The sequence below is a fragment of the Homo sapiens genome, chromosome 16 (genome assembly GCF_000001405.40).
Source record: "Homo sapiens chromosome 16, GRCh38.p14 Primary Assembly".
NCBI lineage: Eukaryota > Metazoa > Chordata > Mammalia > Primates > Hominidae > Homo > Homo sapiens.
In genome coordinates, this window is record NC_000016.10 from 50,601,274 (window position 1) to 50,624,355 (window position 23,082).

The window sequence follows — 23,082 nt, forward strand, 5'->3', positions numbered from 1 at the left end:
GGGAGCTGTGGGAGTCAGAGCTTTTAGTTGCAAGTAACGGAAACCCAACCTGAATTGCTGGAAGCAGCAAAGGCCGTTTAGTGGCTTCTGTGACCGTCCCATCGGTAGGAAGGGCGGGTTAGGGTGGGCCTGCCCCAGGGTTCACCGAACAGACACTTTTTCGAGTGCCTGCGTGGTACCAGGCGCTGTTTGAGGGCAAAACAGACCCAGAGTCCTGCCCACAGGCAGCCTCCTTCTGGAGAAGGCTGGGCCTGAGGCTGGTCCCAGTACTGGCCTCTGTCTCTGTGTGAGCTGCCTCCTTGAGTGAGCTGTCTCTGAGAAGCTGCCGATGAGATGAGATGCAGCCTTGGCACCAGAGAAGAGCTCGTCCCCGTCAGCTCCCGAGGGAGGGGTCCCAGGAGAGGGTTCCAATTGGCTTGGCTGCATCCAGGGGACAGGCCTGGTGGGCAGAGCCAGGAGCCACCACCAGGTGACCTGTGGCTGTGGTGGGCTCAGGGGTCTTCAGGGGAGTGGCTGAGGACTCTGCCCTATATTTTGGCTCCTTTGGAAAGAGATGCCATTTATCTTTGGAAGCAGCATGTTGAGGCCTGGGTTCTGATGACCCAGGCAAGGAGGGGCGGGTCTGTTTTCCTCTCCTGGGGAGGAGGATGCCCCCAGCCTCTCCCATCCCTGGGTCCAGGCCTCCAGGAGCCCTCTCAAAAGGCTGCCTGCCATGCCCTCTTTCCATCTCTCTGCCCTTTGATGAGGATTATTTTTGTATCACTGGCCTGCATGTTGTATAGTGTTGGGATGGGCTGGGTAATTTCCTAGCACTTTCAGCCTGCCGAGCTTGTAGGCAGAGTGGGCTCTGGAGGCCCAGGAAAGCCCTGGGGGCCTGGGAATGAGAGGGAGGCTGTGTGGGCAGAGATAACAGGTCCGCAGGGGAGAGGTATATGTGAGAGACATAGAACTTGAGGCCCAGAAAATGGACAGCCCCGGTCTTCCTCTTGTTTCCTGGGTATAGCCCTAGAGAAGAGATCTGCCCATTGATGGGATGCGGGCTGGAACCCCAGAAGGTCTGTGCTCCAGGGAACTGTGAGCATCATCTTGTCTGGCCTCCCTATTCTAGAGACGAGGGGGCCGAGGCCTGGAGGGGGCTACCTGACTCTGTTGCTTTCCATGAAACCTTGGACTTGTTACTTAATCTCCCAGCTTTTGTTTTCTTTTGTAAAGTGGGTTATTATCTGCAGTTTTACTAAATTGGGTTTTAATTACCCAAGTAATATACTCATCAGTTAAACATGAGAACACTTCTGATAAGGCTGGGGTTTATGACCCCCCCCACACCCTCTGCCTCTGTCTGCCCTCCCCTCTCTGGAAGTCACCGTGGCTGTCGTCTTCCGCATGTTCACCCACACGGGGACAATCTCATGGCATACATGGGTTTGGTGCTCTCCTCTGTGTACAGGTAGCAGCACAGTCTGCGTGTCTTCCTGTGAGGGCTCCTTTGCCTGTCCTGTGGTCTGGCCCTCTGCCCGGGAGATCTGCAGGTCTGTCTTGTTCTGTTGGCGTCCCTCTCGTGTGGCACTCCTCTGCAGAGATCCAGCCCACATGCCTTTGAGGGCATCCAGGGTGTTCCTGACTGCAGGTTAACAGGAAGTGCATTGCCCTAAACATCACTGGATTCGAATGTGCCTCCTGGACACACATGTGAGCATCGTCCCAGGGTGGACATTGAGGCACTGGCTCGCCAGGCATTAGGATGGAATGTGAGAATGTTCCCGAGCCTGTGTTGGGAAGAGGAGAGAAACTGATGTTAGTGCTTCCAGCTTCGCATCAGACACCATCCTAGGCATGTTGTCTATGTTTTCTCATTGACTGCTCTTTGACATCAAAATCCTCATTTTACAGAAGGGGAAAATGGAGGCCGGAGAAATTAAGTAATGTGTCTGCTGCCACTCGGCTGCTGAGGGTGGGACTGGGCCCGGAGCCTGGGCGTCCCGACTGCCAGGTCGATCTGGACGCTGAGGAGTGGAGCATCCCTGTCCTGCCTCCCGAGAGGGGACAAGAGGAAGGCAAGAGCTTGCTCTCAGCAAGGCCTTGAGAGCGCCTGGCCAGGCTGCAGCCTCAGTGTGCTGGGAAGAGAGAACTCGCCAGGAATTTCCTGGGGCAGCTCCAGGGTAGGCTGCTCGGATCTAAGGGTTACAGGGTGGCCTAGGCCCTGCCCCCCTCCTCTTTCCCCGGCACATCCCAACCCTGTACATTCTTGGAATCTGTAAGTTGTGCCGTGTTCTGTGGGCACCGGGAGTTTGCTTTGAAACCCGTGGCACCAACATCTGTTAGCTCTTAGAGAACAGAAAGATTGACAAAGCACTGCTGGGGCAGGCAGTGGGGGAAGATGTTACATTCAGAAGTAGGAAGTCTCAAAGACAGAGGAAAAACCCCAACCAAACTCCAGCTCGCTCCCCAAGGCTGCTTTGATGTGGTTTTCCCATCCCCGGAGGCCTTATAAGGTATCGTGCCTGGATTCTGGGCTCTGGACTGGTGCTGGCTGCACACCCTGTGCCCGGAGGAGCTGGCCTCTCTTCCTGGGGCCCAGTGTAGAGCAGGGGAGGGGCTCCCAGGGCCAGCTGATGGGGCACCACTGGGACTTAGGAAGGTAGCACATCTGGGCATGTGGCCTGAGGGGCCACCAATCCAGGCCATTAGACAGGAGCAGCCCAGCCCCAGGTCAGGTGGAGCAGAGGCCCTGGAGACCCAGGAAGGTCTTTGATCAGAACTTGCAGCAGAGGCTAAGGCCCACTGTCCTGGAGGCCAGAGGGGAGGGGCCTGGGATCACAGAGTGACAACTAAGTAGACAAAATAAGTGGAGGAGGGTCACCACTGCAGCCAAGCCCCACATGTGGGTTTCCCAGGTGCAGTGGTGAAGGGTATGGACTCAGGCTCTGGCACTTACTAGCTGTGTGACCTTGGGCAAGTCACTTAACCTCTCTGTGCCTCACTCATCTCATCTGTAAAACAGGGTAATCATGGCAGTCCTTTGGAATACCTGAAAGGATTGACACAAGGGTGAAATGCAGTCCTCTGAAAACAAGTGTTCTGGGCAGGATGGGGCATGTTTCCAGGTGTCTGTGAGGGCACCTGGGGTCTGGCGAGTCTCTCGGCTTGTCCCAGCAGTGTTCTGGTCACCATACAATAACAATAGCAGGAGTAATAAACAGTAACTACTGACCTAATGAACCCCACTCATGCTTTCAGCTGCCCTGCTAAGCGCTTCACATGCAATGACTTCCTCACTCCTCACAGCCCCACCCCCTCCAGATATCCTTATTGCTGTCGCCCCTGTTTACGAATGGGGAGACTGAGGTGCACTAGAGATAAAGTTCCTTCCCCAAGGTGGTGCAGCATGTGTGAAGCAGAGCTGGGATTTGAACCAAGGTCTGACCCCTCCAGTTCCATGCCCTCTGCACAGGGGCTTCCAGTGGCGCCGTCGAAGTTCTGAATATGTCTCCTGGCAACACCTGCCTTCCCGAAGGATGGTGCCAAGGGCCTGGCCCTGGCCCTGACATGTGGGGCTGCCAGCCAGGGCTCAGCTTGAGGGCAGGGCCAAGTCCCCAAGTTGTGGGGAGGAGCAGGGGAGCTTTGAGTCCTGCTAGGCAGATGGGAACCCTTGACCACTTACCCACTAGAGCTGCCAGCTGGGCTATTTTTCTTGCACTCCTTTAGGTGTGATCCTTGGTCCCTGGTAGGTGCCAGGACTCCTGACCACCTCTGCTCCCATGCCCACAGGAGCCCTGGTTGCATGAGTAGGAGCCCGGGCTGAGGCATCTGAAGGAGCTGGCTCAAGTCCCCGCTCCGCCCCTTGCTGGCAGGTGATCCAAAGGGGGTCTCACAGCCTCTTGGAGCCTCCTAGCCACTTAGATGCAGGGCTGTGGGGAGGCCATTCTCCAGAGTCTCCCGTGAAGATCCCATTGGTCAGCACCTCGTACACTGTGAGCACTTGGTAGATGACGGGTGACTGTCATTAGAACTGTTTCTGGTCTCATACAGTACTTCAGGGTTGAGGCCACTTTCTTTGTAGAAAATAACAGTAATGATTATACCTCTCGCTTTACAATTTGCAAATCATTTTAATAAGCATCTATTTCTTGAAAGATGGAAAGACCAGGGCTGTTGTGATGATTCAGGGGGCTAATAAATACACGCTTACACAGTTGGCCCTCCTTATCCATGGGCTATGTATTTGTTGATTCAGCCAACCATAGATAGAAAATATTTGGAAACAAAAAAGCATCCGTACTGAACACATACAGACTTTTCTTGTCCTTATTCCCTAAGCAATACAGTTTAACAACCATCTCCATAGCATTTACACTGTGTTAGGTATTGTAAGTAATCTAGAGGTGATTTAAAGTATAGGGCAGGATGTTTGTAGTTTATATGCAAATACTACACCATTTATATAAGGGACTTGAGCATCTACAGATTTTGATAGCCTCAGGGAGTTTTGGAACCAGTCGCCCACAGGTACTGAGGAATGACTATAAAGTGCCTAGCATCGTGCCTGACACATGGAAAATGCACAGTAAGTGTCAGCTGTTTGATTATTATTATGGTTGATGACTGTGCCCATTTTACAAATAAGTAGGCTGAGGTCCAAAGGCGAGGCAGGCGGTACAGCCAGCATGTGATTCTGTGTTTGGCTCAACATCCCGCGTGGCTTCTGGCCTAGAGACTCAAAGCTCTAGGAACATGCACGCTGCACGCCACAGACCCTGGGCCGTGTGGCTCAGTGGGGGAGATGAATTTTTTTTTTTTTTTTTGAGACAGAGTCTCACACTGTCACCTGGGCTGGAGTGCAGTGGCGCAATCTCAGCTCACCACAGCCTCCACCTCCCAGTTTCAAGCGATTCTTCTGCCTCAGCCCCCCAAGTAGTTGGGATTACAGTCACCTGCCACTACGCCTGGCTAATTTTTTGTATTTTTAGCAGAGATGGGGTTTCATTATGTTGGCCAGGTTGCCTGACCTCGTGATCCACCTGCCTCGGCCTCCCGAAGTGCTAGGATTACAGGCGTGAGCCACTGCGCCTGGCTGGGGAGATGAATTTTTGCAAAGTTGAGCATTGGCACAGTACAGTGCGTCCATGAACCATGGCTCCGGGGAGCTTTCCAGTGTTCTCCAGAGCAGGGTACTGTTGAGTGGTGAGAGGCCTATGCCAGAACTTGCCAGAACTCTGCTTTCTGAGTGTGTCAGAGAGCTTGGTTCTCCGAGCAGGGAGTGCTGAAGCTGTCATTAGGTGGTGACTGGGGTGCCTTGAGCACATGCGGTCATTGTCATAGGGTCCCACACGGCTGCCTTGTTGGTGGCGATGTCTGGAGTCTTTAAACTCTTCCAAGTGTGCCAGTAAAAAGACACGAGTACTCAGACGTCTCATTGATGCTGTCACCCGGCTGCAGTGCAGTCAGGGTGGCAGGCGCAGAGCCCCGCTCTGCAGAAGACCTCAGCATGAAGAGGTGCGCAGATTCTCTTGAAGACTGTTGCCTGTTCCCTCGGGGAAGCTCTGCCTACCAGCCTTTCAGGGGGCGGTGGCACCCGTCTCTCTTCTGCATGAAAGATGGGCTTCAATTGGCTGCTGGGGCGTCCCAGCCATCTAATGATGCCACCTGTGTGCATCCCTTTCCTGTCATCGTCTCCCAGCTCCCCTGTCAACTCGGGCTCTGTTAACACAAACAGCCAGTTTACAAGCCCAGGATATGTTCGATGATTATAATAATTGGTGGAGGAGGAGAGGAAGCCATCCTGACTCGAGGAATAAAGTAGCCTGGTTTTGAAGTAAATGGGACACCGGAGTCTGAATGGCCACATTTTAACAGCTTTTAAGAAAGAGTGTGTAATGCCCTAGAAAGATTTGAAAGAAGAAAGAGAACAGCCACAAAATGTTAGCTGTTTGTCTTTAAAACAAAAAACAAAAAAAAGCAAGAGGCTTACCTCCAGCTGTGTCCAGTTGATGAGATCAGCAATACAAAGCCGTGTTTTTTCTTTTGTTCATCAAGAAGAGGACTGGTTTTTTTTTAAGCATCATCTGAGGTGTAGAATTTTTTTTCCCCTAAGGAGAGGGTTGGGTTTTGTTTTTGTTTTTGTTTTTTTTCTCTTTTATTTTCACAAAGAGAAGTTGGTGACAGCTGCTGAGTTTGGGCTTTTTTATTGCTTGTCATTTTGTGTTTTGAGAACCGCTACCATAGCATCATCATCCCCCAAACCCTTGTCTGTCCTCCCATAACAGGAGTATTTCCTAAAGTGGGTTTCTTGGGACACGCGTATCATGTGATACTTTTGAAAAACGAAGCTCCATGGTCTAAATAAGTTTGGAGAATGCAAAATATGCCAGCACTTGGAGATTCAGTGTTTAGAACCATAGGAAAAGTCCTGATAAGTCCTGCTGTAAGAGATCTTGTTTAACTTTGTTTAAAAGAATCTTCTTTGATCATAGAACTCTTCTGGCAGAATACCAATAAATACAGAAGACAGTTTGACAAGGTATGGTCTAGCTTCTTCCATATTTGGAGTTATCCTGCTAGGGTGGGTCAGACAGATGGGGCCTTTGTTGACATCCTAGAAATTTCCCAGCCTGTGGACCAGCAACACTCCCCTCGCTAACTTGACATCTCCTGGTCAGGTTGGTTGGGATGAGATCCCAGATATCCTTAACTCACTGGTGGGGAACAGGCAGGGTGTGTGCAAGGAATCAGGCTGGTTTCCGGAAGGCATGTGTGTTGGTGAAATGTGGGAGGCATGATGGAAGACCCAGTGGAGCCATAGCCTGTGGTGGCCTGAATGTTGTGCTGATGCGTGTGGGTTTATGTTAAGGGCAGGAGGGACCCACCTTGGCACTTAACTTTTCAGGTGCAATAGGATCTGCCTCAGTTGACCTGAATTCCAATCAGAAGAATCAGCCCAGGGTCCTCATGGCACTGCTTTTAACGTCCCAGCACTGGGCTCCCCCAACCCCTGCTCAATGCCTCTGCTCTGTCTTCTTGTAGGAGCTCGTGGGCGACGTGTTGAGAGACACGCTCAGCGAGGAAGAGGAGGACGACTTTCGGCTGGAAGGTATTCGGAGTCCATTGCTCTCTTCCCAGCAGCAGCGAGTGGGGGAAGCGGGTGTTCAGCTGGCCGTGTGCCCTGTGTACTCCAGAAAATCTGCAGATGGAGGGCACAACAGGGACCTTGTGACTCTGGGTGGGGGTGGACTAGAGGGTGGGATGGAGGAGAGGAGTAAGAGACAGGTGTGGTACTTCATAGGTCCAAGCCCAGGTGGGGGTCCGGTCACCTAGGTCCATGTCCTGGCCCTGCACCGGATTAGCTGGGGGATCTCGGACAGGTTGTTGAAACTCTGCTGCTCCTCTGGGGATAATAAGAGTAGCTGCTCAGAGTGATGTGTGAAGTGTGATCAGGCAGTGTTGGGCATGGAGTAAGCATTACACACAGTGCCTATTCTGTTTCCTCCATCATGTCACTCTCTTGGTGCATGAGTGTGCACACACACACACAGCCAGCCTTTCACCTCTCTCCTCTGTTGTCCTTCTTCCTTTCTTAAGATGGGGTCTTGCTCTGTCACCCAGGCTGGAGTGCAGTAGGTAATTGTAGCTCACTGCAGCCTCGACCTGGGCTCAAGTGATCCTCTCACCTCAGCCTCTCAAGTAGCTAGGACTACAGTTGCATGCCACCATGCCAAGCTAATTTTTAAATTTTTCTGTAGAGATGGGGTCTTACTATGTTGTCCAGACTGGTCTTGAACTTCTGGCCTCGAGTGACCTTCCCACCTTGGCCTCCCAAAGTGCTGGGGTTACAGGCGTGAGCCACTGCACCTGGCCACTGCTTGCTTTCTTCATGGTGAAGTGCCGTGTTGTAGAGAGAATCAGGACGCTTAAGCGTAGAGGGTCTGCTGGCTGCTGGTGTGCTGGTTTGACTTTGGGCAGGCCACCCTACCTTTCTGAGCCTCAGCTTCCACATCTATAGAATGGGAACAAGGGCCTTTGCCCTGCTTGGCTCCCAGAGTTGGTGCCAGGAACGGATGACAGCGTGAAGCAGAGTGTTTCCTGAATGGGAGATTTTAAATTCAGAAACAGGGAAAGAAATCACCAAATGGGGGGCTGCCTTATAAGAGTAAGGAAGGACCTCTCTGCTGAGACCAGGGCAGACAGCTGGCTGGAGAGCTGGGGGGCCATGGTGCAAGGGTCTGCGGAGGGGGATCTAGCCCTGCAGGGGTCTGAAGGGCCACAAGAGGAGAGCAGACAGTTCTGGGAAGTTCTCAAGGGGAGCATCGGCCAGACCTGAGGACCGTGGCCACATCTGGCCTGAGAGCTGTTATAAATATAGAATCTCAGCTCCAGCCCAGGCCTGCTGAATCCGATCTGCATTTTAACAAGCTCCCCAGGTGGCTTGCATGAACACTGCACTCAGAGAAGCACTGTTTGAAGATACTCACTCCGTTGCCTAGAAGTTGGAGGCAGGCTGGAGAGCCAGGTATCTAGCAAACTTTACTCAAATGTAAGCAGGCCCCAGATCAAGGGGGAGGAGTCCCATGAACAGAAAGCTTTGTGTGTGCATACAGTCTGGTATCTTTTATGTGAAAAAAAGGCACCAGACCATCCTCAGGAGTTTCTTAGGGTACCACATATGCATATGACTGTGTGGATAGAGGCCTAGACAGATGATAACCATAGCTCTTTCCAAACATGGGAGGAGACTTAAGTCTGTGTTATCTGCATTTCATGGTTAAACTTTTATAAGAACATAGTTGGGCATGGTGGCTCAAACCTATAATCTCAGCACTTTGGGAAGCTGAGGCTGGAGGATCGCTTGAGCTCATGAGTTCAAGACCAGCCTGGGCAACATAGTGAGACCCTGTCTCTATTATCAATAATTCAAAAACTATATTTTTTAAAAAATCAAAAAACCACAATTATGTATTCCTTATGAAATTAAAAACTAATGTCAGTATTTAAAGGTGAAAACCGTAAATAAGGCAGTAGGAGTGGAGCTGCTCTGGTTTGAGTCGGGTGGGCATCTGGACCTGTCCGTGTGGCCCTTAAGACCCCATGAGGGACCCTGGGCCCAGTGACCATCTGTGGTCCTCTGGCACCCTTGGTCCTGTGGCCCGAGGCCTCCCACCCCAGGGTGGGGGATATGGTGTGGATGGTAGGCCACCGCGTGGCCAGGTCTGGTGAGAGCAGGTGCTACTGAGTTCTGGCCACAGAAAACCAGCTGCCTGCTCTGGACCTGGGACTGAGGGGTCCCTCTGTGCTACTGACTAAGGGAGAACAAGCCGAGTCCTGAATCTCTTCTTTGTCTTCCTGTTGGCCAAGTTCATTGCCTCTTGGCGGGCTGGAGAGCTGTTTAAGAGAGAAAAAAGGCCATCTGAGGCGTGAAGATAAAAAGAAGTCTTTTAGCCATCCCAGGAGAGGATGGCTTTAGCTCCCGCGTTGTTATGTAAAGCCGGCCCTAATCCAGCATCTTAACCGCCTTAACTGGCCAGCTGGGAGCGGGAGGGATGGGAGATTAAGGCTGGGCTTGGTGGGCCAGGGCTGCAGAGCTCCTTTTGAACTGGGGAAAGAACAAAGTAAACATCAAAAGTCTCAAGCTCTGAGAGCTGGCTGGGCGTGGCAGGGCTGGTGAGGTGAGGCTTTCGTGGGGAGAAGGGGAGAGGGACCCCTCCTCAGCTGACCCAGCTGAGGTCTGAGGACCAGGGAGGGGTGACCCCATGCTCACCTTCAGCGCACACCCAGCCTCCCTGCCCCCACAGCTGGGCAGGACTCCAGGTAGTCGCAGCCTGCGGCTTGGGCCCCACGGGGAGAATGGGTGGCCAGGCCACGTTCCCCTGCATGGCCTCCAGGAGTCACTGTGTCTGAGGGTGCTGCAGCCACTGCTTCATCCCCCTCTCCCATCTCCCTCTCTCCAGGTCCCCCCTGCCTCTCACCTGGTGAACGCTGCCCCCGCCCAGCTTCTTGGCTATCTCTGTGTCTCATCTCTGGGCCTTTGCTCGTTGTCTCTCCGCATCCTCAAGTGCCTGGTTTCTATTTCTCCACTCTCCGGCATCTTTAGGAAGGCTGCTCTGCAGCTTCCCTAAAGGAGATGCTCAGAGCCACTGAAGTCAGGCAGCCCCTCCTCCTCGGGACCAGGCCCAGGCCTCCCAGCTTCCAGGGCAGGCCTTGCTTTGGCCCTGCTGCCCTCTCCCCACTGGCCTGGCGTGCGCATGTGGCAGCCCGTGGGGTGGTCTCTGCTTCCTCAGCCCAAGGGTGGATGTGCCTGGAGTTGGTGGTTCTGCCCAGCAGGGAGCAGTGTTAAGACTGAGGCCTGGTGGGGGCTGAGCAGCACTCGGGGAGCTCGGGGCCTGTTCAGCTCTGCAATGGTCCCTAACTTTGCCTTCCTCATCTCTCCTCCCTTGATTCTGACTTCCTGTGAATTCGCAGCTCAGACCCCATTCCAGCCTGGCTTACCCACACTCACTGTGTGACCTTGGGTGAGTCACTTCCCTGTGGCTCAACTTCCTCACTGGGTTCCTTGTAGCACTTCTTTGCCAGGGTTATTGTGAAGACAATGAGGTGATGGATGTAGGTCGCAAGGGTGGCCCTGGTACAGAGTAAGTGCCCAGCACACTTGAGCTGCCATGATTCTTGTTTCCTGGGTTCAGTTTTCTTGAAGAGGTGTCAGCCCGTGTTTATAATCATTTACCTAGCCCAGATCAAAGAGGACCTCTTTGCAAAGCTTCTTTAATCCTGTTAGAATCTCCAAAGGCCTCCCCGTACTCCTGGTGCCTGGAGTAGGGTCTGGCATGCTGTATGTGCTCAATAAATAAACACTCACTGAAGAAGGAAAGTCAATACCCTGTAGTCACTGAAAGCAGGTGACCTCTCCCTCTGCCTCACTGAAAGCAGGTGACCCCTCCCTCCGGCCTCTCAGGCAGGACCTGTGTACCTGTGTTGGGGCCTGGGCCAGTCTGTCCAGGCTCCCAGGGGTCAGATGTTGGGCAAAGGAACTTGGGAGGCCTGTACTTCCTTTCATCTGTAGTTGGAAAACTGAAGCCCAGAGAGGGAAGTGACCTGTCCAGGGTCACACAGCAGACTGAGAACAGAATCTGGCCCCTCACTCCTCACCATTCAGTATGTGCTGGGCATTTGCTGCAGCTAGGGGCTCTGCTGGGCCCTGGGTTCACAGGCACGAGCAAGGTAGGCAGGCCCAGCAGTCACGACATTCACAGGAGGGAGGCAGGGATGAATACATAAATCTGCGAAGGAGCATGGAAGTTTCTAGTAGTGGTTCTCTGCTAAGACGTAAAACCCAGGGAGAGGTAGAGTGAGGAGGCTTTTCTGAGAAGGTGATGTTTCAGCTGAGATGCAGATGCCAGGAAGGAGCCAGCCATGGAAGAATGTAGGGGGAGAGCAGCTATGAGTGAGCAGAACCCCAGAGTGGAGGGAACTTGGTGTTTGGGGAAGAACAAAAAGGAGGCCGATGTGGCATCAGGAATGAGAGTGGGGTGGTCGGCAAGTGTGGGACCACGCCCTTAGGTTGCGTGGTTCTGCCCAGATGGTTGGGTGGGTGACTGCTGGATTCTGACCTCTGTTTTAAGAAGTTAATTCTGGCTTCTGGGAGGGACTGCCCATGGGCAGGGAGGAAGAGGGCAATGAAACCAGGAGGTGACTGCAGGGTCGCAGGCGAGAGGAGATGGTGCTGGCCTAGCCTGGGAGCTTGGGGCTGGGGAGAGGTCCATGGGGCTGGAGGTTGGAGCTGGTGAGAAGGGGGTTGAGGGAACGAGAGAGATCAGGGATGCATCTTAGACTTTTGGTTTCAGGAACTAAGGATTTGGCGGTGTCACTTCTGAGGTGGAGGTTTTGGCGGGTGACCATCAAGCCTCCCGTTTTTGGACCAGTTGGGTTCAAGATGCCCATTTAACATCCAAGGAGAGGTACCGAGGAGGCCGTGGGATACCTGGTGATTGGAGCTTGGGGTTCAAGGAGCAGTTGGGCAAGAAACAGAGAGAGAGAGCGAGTCAAGACTTCTCAGGAAGTAGCCACGGACATTGCCCGGGACTCTCGGGCAAGGCTCCTCAATACACAGGGCTGGCGGTGGCTTCCCAGGAAGGCTGGGAGGAAGAGGAGTTCATGGGAAGGCAGCAGGGACCCCCAGATGGAGGGGCAGGTGCCCATGCCCCGCCGGCTCCTCTCCCTCAGTTCAGAGCCTGTCCTGTCGGGGGGTGTCAGCGGCCCTGACTCTCCACTCCCCTACAGTCCCCCCAGAAGCTGAGTTGCAGCGGTGACAGAGAACAAGCGGACTTTGTTACCTTGGCAGTTTCTCTCAAGTCTGCTCCTCATAAAAGCTCAGCTGGAACAGTGGAAATTCTGACTTGTGTCAGATACCGGAGAGGCTTTAATAGTTTCAAGTAGCTCGGGGTTAGATTGTAAAAGCCGAATTTCATCACATGTTTTAACTTGGGTGGGGGCGGGCGGGGGAGAGTGGAAGGGACGTGATATTTTTAGCCCACAGAAGGCTTTTTCTCCCCTTTCCCCTTCTCTCCCGGGGCTTCCCCCTCCCTCCCTGAACAGATGTTTCGTCTCAATCCTGTTCAGATGTCAAAGCCGAGTGGCCACCAGCCTTATGCTCTGATGAGGAAAAAAAGGCCAGAATGTTATTTGTTGAGAAGGATTTCCTCCCCTACCCGCTTTTCCCCCTTTTTTGTTTCCCCTCAGTTACAATTGGTCCATAAGCAAAATCTAGTGGCAGTAAAATGCAGCTGGGAGGCAGGATGGTGGAGAAGAAGTCCCTGGTGGCATTTCTGGTCTCAGGAAGGGGCAGACACCCACAGGTGAAAAAGCTGGAAATCACCCTAGAGGGACTGCCCTGGGTGAGTGAATTACTGCTGTGGTGCTGGTGCTGGTGGTTTTTCCTAAAAAGCAGGATCTCAGAGAGACGGATTTGTTAAGTCAGGATTCTTTCGGTTCTTTTGGAAACTCACTTAAACTTTTGGCTCATGAAATTGAAAAATCCTAGGGTAGATCTTGCCTAAAAAGGCCTGTTTGGATTCTGGAGCTAAAACCATGTCATGGACACATGCACGCACACACACACACTCACACACACACGTATACTCACACATTCACACACATGTCTCGCTCGCTGCCCCTCTCTCTCCCTCTCCATCATCTCTCCCTCTGTCCCCTGGTGGCTTCTCCCCCACAGGGGGCAAGGGTGGCAGTTCCCAGCTCTGGGCACTCCCATCCTATGAGCACAGCCCTGTCAGGTGGAAGAAAGTTCCCAGGTCACAGGGGTTCTTGCACATGTTGGACTCACTTTATTGACCACTTTACTGGTCACTTGACCAGGGTAGATCTAGGTTTTATGGGACCTGAAGCTTTCTGGGGCCAAACCAAAATAAATATCTCACCAACTCAGTCTCTCCTTAGCTCATGTCCAGAAATGCCTGTATTTCCCCTAGTATCACCTCACACAGGCAAAGGATGTCAGAATGGTTAGATGACAATCTTAATAGATTGAGGATAAAATGCCTAATTTGGAAAATGTTACAAATACAAACACATATGACCACATAAACACCTTGCAAAGACCCATCCTGACTTGGAAAGGGCCCGTGTAGGTGAGAGGGCCCAGAAGCCTAGCTTCATTAGCTTCTTCATAAACTCTTCTTTCATACTGACCTAGGACCAGCCACGTGGCCTTCAGGATGAAACAAGCTGGGTCAGGTAGGGGTACTGAGTGCAGTGTGACCCTGGAGTGGGATCAGTCTCCATAAACTAGATAGACTGAGAGTGGGGGATGAGTAGCTCTGGGGAGGAAAGCCAGATGCTATCATCAGAAGGAGGAGAAGGATTGCTGGACAGGCAGGAACAGGTGTCAGCTATTGTGGTCTGAGAGAGTGGACAGGCCAGTGGTTGAGGAGTTGGGAAACTGGGATTTAGTTCTCTTTGTTCCACAACTTCTGGGTTCAAATCCTGGTTCTGCTACTTACCGTTGTTTCATTTTGATGATGCTGCTGATGATGCAGCACCTATAGTGTGATAGACACTGCACTATAGACATATATATCTCAGGGTATAGATATTGGGCTGATGGAAGATTCTGATGATTAAATGAGTGATATAATGATGGTGTAATAAGGCTCACTGAGCAGGGAAGCCTAACCTAGCCCTGAGGGTGTGACAGCATGCTGCTCAGAGGAAGGGAGGCTTAAACTGAAGACCTGAAGGATGAGTGGGAATTGCAGAGCTGGAAAGAGTGTTCTTGGCAGGGATAACAGCGTGAGAGCATGGCAGGCTCAGAAAAGGGAAAGCAGTTCCACAGAGAGACGGGACTGAGAGGTGGCAGCAGCCGGGTCGTGGAAGCCTTTGGACCCCTCCTTAGGGGAAAGGGGGCCACTGGAGGGGTTTAAGCAGGGAAACGGCATAATCAGTTTTGGTTTTTAAGCTCAGTTTCCTCTTTTGTACGATGCCAACAGTAGCACACCCTGCACAGTGTTAAGAGGACTTAATGGAATAATGTGTGGTACTACTAACTTCACCAGCCTCTCCATGCAGCCCACCACAGTATGTGGCTGTGTTTACAAACAGAGGTGGGATCGCTAGGACCCTCATTCCCTAAGGAGAGCCTGATACAGATACTGCAAGAAACCATTTGGCCTGGAATGCACATATGATATCTTTCTCTTTTTACTGGCAGCAGATTTACCCGCCTAATTATATTTGGCAGAGGCTAATATTAAAATTCATCTGCATTCCCTCGAACAGCTGCTGTCAGAAGGTTGTGGACTCAAACATCTTGGCAAGCAACCCTGAGACTAAAATATTTGCAGCAGATAATCTGTACGTGGACGATTGAGAAAGGACTGTGGATATGTCAGGGCGAGCATCCAGACTCTAGCAAGGAAGTTCTGGCTTGTGTTAAATCTTACATTGTATTCACTGAGAAGAACTTGCCAGGTAACTAGGCTAAGAGAGGGGTCTGCCATGCAATTGAATTGTTAGTAATTTCTGGTCTTTAGTGGGGCTGATTTAGTCATAACTGTGTTTCAAATTTGTCTCTTCTTTCCAAGTTTCATATGCACCAGGCCTTTCTGGATTGTGTTAAGATAAGCTGGCATTTACTGGTATCATCCCAGGTTTGGATTTTTATGTAAATTTCAACTCCCCACCTCCCCATGGCACTTCCCAGTCTCCATCAAGGCAGAAGGTATGGCATATTTGTTATGTAGCCAAGCTTCCTTATGCCTACCTGTAGAATGTGCTGTAGTTCAGCAGGCCTGGCGGAATCTCTGCCCTGTGCACGTATGGGAAGTGCTAGGCATTGGGCAACCCGGGAGCAGAAGCCTAGAAGGCGCCAGATCTCAAGAAACTTGCTTTCTGGCTGTGCAGATGTGGAGGCTCCTGTGAAGCAATCAGAAGGTCCCAGATAGGACTGTACAGAATAAAGTGCTAGACTGAATGGCGGGAGACAGCACCCCACTAGCTCCGGATGCATTCATGCAAATTAGAAAAAAGCTGCCCCTCCTCAAGACACCTTTCTGCCATCTGTCCAAAGGATGTCATAAGCAATACACATATCTAGGGTATTGGTCATATGAGTGGCACCACCTGGGGTTGTACAGTGCACAGCCTGCTTCTTGGATCCGGTCTCCTAGTGACCTCAAGTGACCCCAGACCAAGGGGAAGAGCCCCGAGGAGCTCACCCTGTTGTACTGTTGAGGAGGACAGGTCTGTTTTATTTCACAGGCCTTCTTCTCTTGCTGTTTGGGTGGCGCCAGCTGTCAGCAGCTTGGGCTGGGTGGGCTGTGCCATCCTGCTCCCTGGGTCACTGCCATTTGCCAGGGTAAACAGTCCCGAGTGACTGTGGCTCTCACAGCATGCGGTCCCCAAGGAGCCTCCCATTGGGCCCATGGGGAGGCGGGAGGGGTGTCTAGACCCACAGTCAAAGTTGTCACCATTCAGGTATTTCCTCACTCTTCTTCTTTCGCTCTCTCTTCCTCCCCACCCCTCCCTTTTTTAAACTGGGGGAGGGGAGAGGGAAGAGACTGTCTTTGATCTCAGCGGAGGAAAAAAGTCTGTTCAGGCTTTTGGCTAACACAACAAACAGTGTTTAAAATTTAACTTTGCTTAATTAATTAGTAATTCTGTTTAATGCTGTCTGATCTCCCTCCAAAAGGTATTTTGAAGCTTGAGAAGGGAACATCAAAGGGAGCCGGGTGAAGATGGTCAAGTAATGCCTTTAATCTGGCAGTTGCTGAGGGTGGAGAGCTGCCAGGCTGGGAGCTAATGGGGAGAGAACCGTCATTTGGTAAACACAGCAAGCTGACTCCTCGTGGCTGTGGTGTGAGGAGGGACAGGGAGCAGTTTCCAAAGAGAGGGAACTCCACAAACCATTACCAACCCCCCAGATTCATATGGGCTGACAATAGGCCTTAAGAAAGCAGAGTTGACATTTTCTTTCTTCCACAGCCACTGTATGGTTGGGCAGGTTGTGTACTGCACAAGGATTTCCAGCCAAGCAGGCAAGTAATAGGTGAAACTGTCTGTGCCCTGCTCATCAAGCACATATCCTGGTGGAAGTAGAGGGTGGCACACATCTAAAGCAGCAATCAATCCACAGACTTTTTCATGAAGGGCCGGATAGTATGTATTTTAGACTTTGTGGGCTCTGTTGCAACAGTTCAACTCTGCTGTCACAGAGTGAAAGAAGCCATGGACAATGCAGATGAGCATGGCTGTGTCCCAATAAAACTTTATTTACAAAAACAGGAGGTGGGCCAGGTTTGGCTCAGCAAGTGTAGTTTGCCACCTCCTGCTCTAAGTCACCCAAAAGTGCTTCTTAGGCAAGTGAAAGGCCTTTTTTCCCCACCCGGTCTCCTGCTTTCCTTTTTTCTTCCAAATGAGCAGTGTCTCCTATAGTTCCTCAGACTTTCAATTGAAGAGTGATCAGTATGATCAGCACCCCCTGAAATTAGGCCCCCAAAAGATAATTTCTCAAGCGGAAAAATGGCTGGGCTAAACAGGAATCAGAGGCAGAGAATGGACTCAGACTCTGGTGCCAAAGCTGATCTCAACTATCATCATTGCAATCCCCCTTGGTGTGGCCTGGGTGGCCTGCAGCGAGCACCAGTCCGCCTCTCCCGCCTCCAGTGGGCCTGCACTCACTGATGGGTGGAGGGTGGTTTCTTCTGCACAGGGCTGGCTGGGGGCTGTGGTGGCTTGACTTAGTTTAGTTTCAGAGGGCTCATATGTGGATGAGGCCTGGCGCCTGCCCCTGGCATTGGGGTCTGCATGGCCAGTTCTCTGCCACCTCTTCTAGCTACTGGTTAGGGGACAATAAGAGGGTGAACGACCTTCTTTGGTGGGGATAGAGAGTGCTGACTGTCCTTGTTCCTGACCCCCACAGCCCCAGGGCAGGATGGATCACAGGCCCCATGCTGGGAGGGGCCCCTGGCGGGTTCACTGACCGTCGGCTGACCTGTGGATGTCCGTGTGGCTTTCTGAGCTGGGATGGGATGAGGGAGCCACTGGTGAAGAGAGGACAATCCGGGCCACACTGGTCTTTGGGGAAGACATATGAGGGGTCGAGGGGGATGTTTTCCAGCCCCTTCAGGTGAGGAGAAAGGAAGGAAAGGGGAGGTCCTGAGGGAAGACAGGCTGTCCGTGCACGGTGGAGGAAGAGTGCTCCAGAGGAGGAGAGAGCAGGGACAGAGGTTCCTTTTCTTTGGATTTTATCAAGTGGAACATGAAAGGCAACATTGAACCTGAAGGTGGTTTTCTGATAACTTCCCTTTGAACTTGAAGTTTGGTTTCGACAAGCCTGGCCAGCTTGCATCTCCAGCCAGGACCTCTGCAGAGAGAGGCAGCAGCTTTGAAGATGGAGCTGGGCTTTGTTTTTCTTTCTTCTTTTTCTTTCTCTTCTTTCCCTCTGCTTGGGAGGGGTGAGTAGAGGATGCTGCAGGCCGTGATATTACTCTGGTTTCTCCGGTGGGGCAGTTTGGGGTCAAGCAGGATCGTTGGGATCTGGGCTGTCAGCTGGCACACATCCTTGGCAAAGCCAGCATTTGTTGAGCACTTACTGCGTGCCGGCCACTGTGCTCAGTAAGCACTTTCCTCATTGCCCTTTCCCAACAGCCCTGTGAAAGTGAGGCCATCATATTCCCATTTTACAGACAAGGGGACTGAGGTCCAGAGGAGTCAAGGGCCTTGTCCAAAGCTGCCCGCACAGGCTGTATGTATTTAATATAATGCTTTTGTGTCCATTTGCATTCGTGAAGCCTCAGTTTTGAGAAAACTTAGCTGCTAACTGAGCTGTTCCCAGGAGTCAGTGGGGTGGGGCCATCAGTCTCCTGACTGTTACTACTTATGGCCAGACCTAGTGCACTGGGGGTCTTAGCCCCTTATGATCAGAGTTTGTTGGATCCACATAAGAATCCTCTGGGGAAGGGGTTGGTAGCTTCCTCATTTTACGGTTGGGGAAACTGAGACATCTAGAGAAGGTATGTGATCCACCCAGGGTCACACAGTGCCAGAGAACAGAACCCACGTGGAGATGACCACTGCCCTGGCTGGCTGGCCTCCATGAGAGAGAGAGAGGCAGGCTGAGAGAAGCACCAAGTCTCCCGAATTGAGCCATGAAAGGCATGGAGGGGCAGCCTAGTGGACTGACTGTGAGCATTATTCAGGCTACCTGGGTTCAAATCCCAGTTCTGTCATTTACTAGCGAGGCACTTATCCTCTCCAAGCCTCAGTTTCCCCATCTGGAAAATGGAGGTAATCGTAATAACTGCCTCACAGGGCTTCATGAGGATGGACTTGGTAAACAGCAAGTGCTTAGTCATTGCTGCCTCATCTTTATGTACAGTGGCGCCAAGGCGCAAGGACACCAGGGGAAGTGCCTTAGTTAATTGCAGAGGAGAGAGCTCCCAGTTCGCAGGACCAGAGCAGAGCAGGAGAGCTGGGGCCCAGGCCCACTGGGGGCATCTCCACTGTGCCTGGCCCAGGGACTGCCCTTGGGTCCTTGCTTGCAAAGCTGGGGTGTGTGAGTGTGGTGGGAGTGTGGGATCGGAGAGACACAAATCCCCCATCTAGTTTCCTGGCCCAGCGGCCTCATTTCTCCAGGCTGCTGACTTCCCAAGAAAGTCCTGCCTTGCCTTCCTCTCTGACTGGGGAGTCTCAGCACCTCACATGACCCCCTGGCCACCCTTGGGTCAGGGTGGAGGGGCCAGGGTCCCTTCCCGGAGTAGGAGCCAGGCTGTTTCTTCACCTTTAAAACAGGACAACAAATTTACTACCCCAGGGCAACAGAAGGAATCAGATGAGAGGAGCTGTGAGTGTGGCCTGGAAAAGATGTCTCCGGCAAACCCCAGCCCCTCTATCTGACAGAGACAAAATGGCGGAAGGGACTAAAGGAGGCTTATGGGACATTCCAAGAATTGATGGCACTTTGTAGTCGGGATCCTAGGTCAAGGACAATGATGCTACCCGGAGCTGGCATCCTCAGGAAAATAGTGTCAGTAGGTCCTGGGATTTCACACTCACCCTCCCACATTTCCTGGCAGGCCACACACAGGACCGTGACCTTTGGCAGAGAGGGGAGGACCTGGGGTGAGCAGAGGCCAAATGCAAGGTTCAGGATGAGCGTGCTCCCTGAAGATGCCTTTTGTGTATGTGTGAGTGTGTGTGCATGTGTGAGTGTGCATATGTGTGCAAGCAGGTGTGATGCATGAGTGTACATATGTCTGCATGTGCGTGTGTATGTGTGTCCATGTGCGCTTGTGCATACATGTATGTGGACGGTGCATGTGTGCACTTCTTTGCCAACCCAGTTGAACTCTGTTTCTGGCACTCCTCCTGGCCATCCACCAAGGTGCCGTAGGCTGTGCTCAGGTGGGTGGCACCTTTGAGGAGGCCAAAATGTCAACACAGAAGGCAGTGAGACTGCAGAAAATGGCCATGGTCCCTAAGCTCCCTCGCTGGGCTCCAGAAGCACCCCTCCACTCTCATCCATCTGCCCTCTGGCCTGACACTGCTCTGGGTGGCTGTGTGCCTCCATAGGGCAGAAGTCATAGGCTGGTGGGGGCCTGAGGGGGCCCCCCACGGTGCAAGTGGGTGCACCATGTTGGGGGAAGGTCTTCCCAGGCAGTACCAGGTGCCAGAGTAGTGTGATGTTGACCCCAGCAAATGGGCAGGGCAGGAGCGGGCCCAGCCCCCTGGCGAGAATGTCCAGGCCAGGCATGGAGGACAAAGGTGCAGTGAGCATGGCTGCCCGGCGTCTGGACCCTGCTCCTAATGCTCCCTCGCCTGCCTCCCCGACAGTGGCCCTGCCTCCTGAGAAGACTGACGGGCTGGGCAGCGGAGATGAGAAGAAGATGGAGAGAGTGAGCGAACCCTGCCCAGGCTCCAAGAAGCAGCTGAAGTTTGAAGTAAGTTTCCTTTTGGTGCTGGGTCCTGAGGAGATGAGATGGGTTTTCTCAGCTTGGGGCTTTGGGAGGAGGGAAGCTGAGGCTCTTCCAGACAGGAAGGCCCCTCCCCTGCATGAACAGCACCCTCTGTGGGAGGTTCCTTCTGCCACATCTGGGGCCGTCCTGGCTCAGGGCAGACCCCAGGGACTCACCGCTGCCCACCCCCTCAGCCCAGCCCCAGCCCCTCCATGCGGGCTGTGCCCAGCAGCTTGGGAGAGGGCATGAGAGTAGACGAGGGAGGCAGGACTCTGGCCCTTCTGTTGCTGTCACCTCTCTGGGCCTCAGTTTCCTCGGTGAAACCTTCCCTTCCAACTCTTGAGGCTGTTCTGGGGGTGCCTGTGGGGGATCTCAGGTGGGATGGATGAACAGGAGGTACGGGCAGGACCCTGACGCTCTCTGGGCCTGAGTTTCCCCATGTGGGCACCACCAAGGATGTGCCTCCGTGTGGCTCTGTGCAGTGCTTAGAGGAGGGAGTAGCAGCTGTGGGCAGAGGTTGGTGAGGCTCTGAGCGTAGGGGTAGGAGTTGGGAGAGGGATGTACAAGGGAGTCTTTGGGAAAAGAAGGGCCTTTGGGGTGAGAAGGGGACAGTTGAGTGCCCCAGACCCAGTGGCTGCACAGTCTGTTCCCCACCGCCTGATAGTGTAGCACGCTCCTGTGCCCCCAGCACAGTGGCCAGTGCTGAGAGCCAGGCCCAGGCCTGCTGCATGGAGCTTCCCCACTGCTCTGCCCTCCTTGCTCCCTCCCTCCTTCCCTCTGTTTGCCTTCCTGAGACCACCAGGGCATAGCTCTAGAGTCAGCAGGCCTGGGTTCAAATCCTGGCTATACACTTAGTAGCTCTGAGACTTTGGGGCAAGTTCCCTAAAGTCTCAGTGGCCTCACGTGCCTCGCCTGTAAGGTGGGGATAATGGTGATGTCTGTCGCATTGGGCTGTTGTCAGCAGCATGAGTTCGTGCGCCTAAAGGTCTAAAGTGCTTAAGAGGGTGCCCCTCTTTCTCACCAATGCTGATTGGCACCGGCTAATTGCCAGGGTACCCAGCTTAGACTGGGTGTGGTTCCTGCCGTCAAGGAGTGCACAGTGTGACCAGGGGACAGTTGAGCGCCCCAAACCCAGTGGCTGCACAGTCAGTGATGAGATGAGATCTGGGAGCCTGGAGTGGGGTCAGGCCGAGGGGTGTGGGGTAACGGACACTTGGCATTTCCAGGCTCTGTGCGGTGCCTGGAGGAGGGAACAGCGGCTGTGGATAGAGACTGGGGAGGTGGGTGAGGCTCTGAGCATAGGGGTAGGAGTTGGGAGAGGGGTGCACAGGGGAGCCTTTGGGGTGAGAAGGGCCTATCAGGCAGAGGGAGCTGCAGGAGCAAAGGCCTGGAGGCTGAAGTGCCGGCGTGCTGTGTGGAGAGAGTGAGTGGCGTGATGTGGCCTGTGCTGGATGGTGGGACATGGGGGAGACGCCCTGTGTGCAGGGTCTCTGGTGACCGATCTTACCCCCTTTCCAGTGTCATCTCCCTGCCATGCCCCACCATCCTGCACAGGCCACACCACACAGCTTGTTCTCCCCACACAGCACAGGAGCACTCCAGCCTCCAAGAGGCTTGAAGGCTCGCCTGAGGAGGATAGGTAGTATCTAGTAGGAGTTAGGGCTGCCAGCTTCTTCCTGGAGCCCAGCCCCGCCCTAAGCCCACCTGGGTCCTTGTAGGGTCTTTTGGGGAGCTTGGCAAAGCCCAGGGCTGAACTCAGTGGCAGAAGGAAGACCAGGCCCAGGCATCCTGCCTCCCTGGAAGCCCAAGTGCGCTTGCTTCTGGAGGGGCAGACTTGGGACTGAGCTGTGGTCCATGGGCAGGACTCAACTGAGCTGAGAAGCCCAGGTGGGGTGTGGGAGAGGCCTAGGAGACCCGCATGTGACAGGTGGGACAAGTGGCCAGTTACTCAACTCATGTTTCTGAAGCTCAGACCCAAGCTGTCTTGGAAACAGGTAAGTGCTGTGTGTGTGTGTGTGTGTGTGTGTGTGTGTGTGTGTGTACACAGGTATGTGAGCGTAGGATGTGCACGTATAGGGGTATACCTGTGTAGGTATGCGTGTGTGTAGGTACGTGTGTAGGGGTATGCGTGTGTGTGTGTGTGTAGGGGTATGTATGTAGGCACGTGTGTCATGCCACATGAACAGTGCCTCAGAGAGCAATGAGGGCCCTTGGCAGTTATCAAACGGGTGTGGCTGAAGCAAGGTTGGCTTTGAACTCAGCGTGGGCGCCCGAGAATTGCTGGAGGGAAATGGCTTAGAGCTGCAGCAGCCAGGGTCAGGACGCCGTGCTGGGGCTCACTCCACTAGCATTTGTAGGCAGGTGCCTTTCCCTCTCTGGGGAGCTGAGCCTTCCTCCTGCCAGGCCAGCCAGGTGCCACCTTCCTGATGGTGGAAGGAGAGGTGGAGTTTGGCATGCCATGGAACAGAATGGTCTTGTTTCCATAGAATCTTATGGATCTGAAAGGCCATTTGTGGAGCCCTTTCCTGCTGAACAGCATGCTTCCTAGAACTGTCTATCTGACACTCAGCCAGCCTCTGCACACAGCCCTCCGGTGACCAGCTCACCACTTCGCGTCTCACATTCCCTGGGG

The 23,082-nt window shown here is 53.1% G+C and overlaps 1 protein-coding gene and 1 long non-coding RNA gene across 2 annotated transcripts in view, besides 5 other annotated features; one reads left to right on the top strand and one right to left on the bottom strand.

The window, feature by feature from the left end:
* The window catches only part of NKD1 (NKD inhibitor of Wnt signaling pathway 1), a 100,854-nt gene that overhangs the window by 52,878 nt on the left and 24,894 nt on the right, over positions 1-23,082 (top strand). Inside the window, exons 4-5 of the mRNA NM_033119.5 lie at positions 7,021-7,087; positions 20,329-20,435. Of these exons, the coding sequence (NP_149110.1) occupies positions 7,021-7,087; positions 20,329-20,435 (174 nt within the window). The remainder of the gene's footprint in view (positions 1-7,020; positions 7,088-20,328; positions 20,436-23,082) is intronic.
* On the bottom strand, positions 1,339-12,377 carry NKD1-AS1 (NKD1 antisense RNA 1). The gene is made up of 3 exons (XR_007065197.1): positions 12,318-12,377; positions 5,969-7,177; positions 1,339-1,766 (listed from the first exon to the last, which is right to left on the bottom strand). It is a non-coding gene; the product is annotated as an NKD1 antisense RNA 1 (long non-coding RNA).
* Positions 1,379-2,087: an enhancer, noted in NCBI's record as "H3K27ac-H3K4me1 hESC enhancer chr16:50636563-50637271 (GRCh37/hg19 assembly coordinates)". NCBI's record gives its function as "activates a minimal SCP1, AML or CMV promoter by ChIP-STARR-seq in primed H9 embryonic stem cells {active_cell/tissue: H9 hESC(primed)}" and the evidence as "EXISTENCE:reporter gene assay evidence [ECO:0000049][PMID:30033119]".
* Positions 5,220-5,996: an enhancer, noted in NCBI's record as "H3K4me1 hESC enhancer chr16:50640404-50641180 (GRCh37/hg19 assembly coordinates)". NCBI's record gives its function as "activates a minimal SCP1, AML or CMV promoter by ChIP-STARR-seq in naive H9 embryonic stem cells {active_cell/tissue: H9 hESC(naive)}" and the evidence as "EXISTENCE:reporter gene assay evidence [ECO:0000049][PMID:30033119]".
* Positions 8,631-9,596: an enhancer, noted in NCBI's record as "OCT4-NANOG-H3K4me1 hESC enhancer chr16:50643815-50644780 (GRCh37/hg19 assembly coordinates)". NCBI's record gives its function as "activates a minimal SCP1, AML or CMV promoter by ChIP-STARR-seq in naive H9 embryonic stem cells {active_cell/tissue: H9 hESC(naive)}" and the evidence as "EXISTENCE:reporter gene assay evidence [ECO:0000049][PMID:30033119]".
* Positions 19,046-19,596: an enhancer, noted in NCBI's record as "H3K27ac-H3K4me1 hESC enhancer chr16:50654230-50654780 (GRCh37/hg19 assembly coordinates)". NCBI's record gives its function as "activates a minimal SCP1, AML or CMV promoter by ChIP-STARR-seq in naive H9 embryonic stem cells {active_cell/tissue: H9 hESC(naive)}" and the evidence as "EXISTENCE:reporter gene assay evidence [ECO:0000049][PMID:30033119]".
* Positions 19,647-20,154: an enhancer, noted in NCBI's record as "H3K4me1 hESC enhancer chr16:50654831-50655338 (GRCh37/hg19 assembly coordinates)". NCBI's record gives its function as "activates a minimal SCP1, AML or CMV promoter by ChIP-STARR-seq in naive H9 embryonic stem cells {active_cell/tissue: H9 hESC(naive)}" and the evidence as "EXISTENCE:reporter gene assay evidence [ECO:0000049][PMID:30033119]".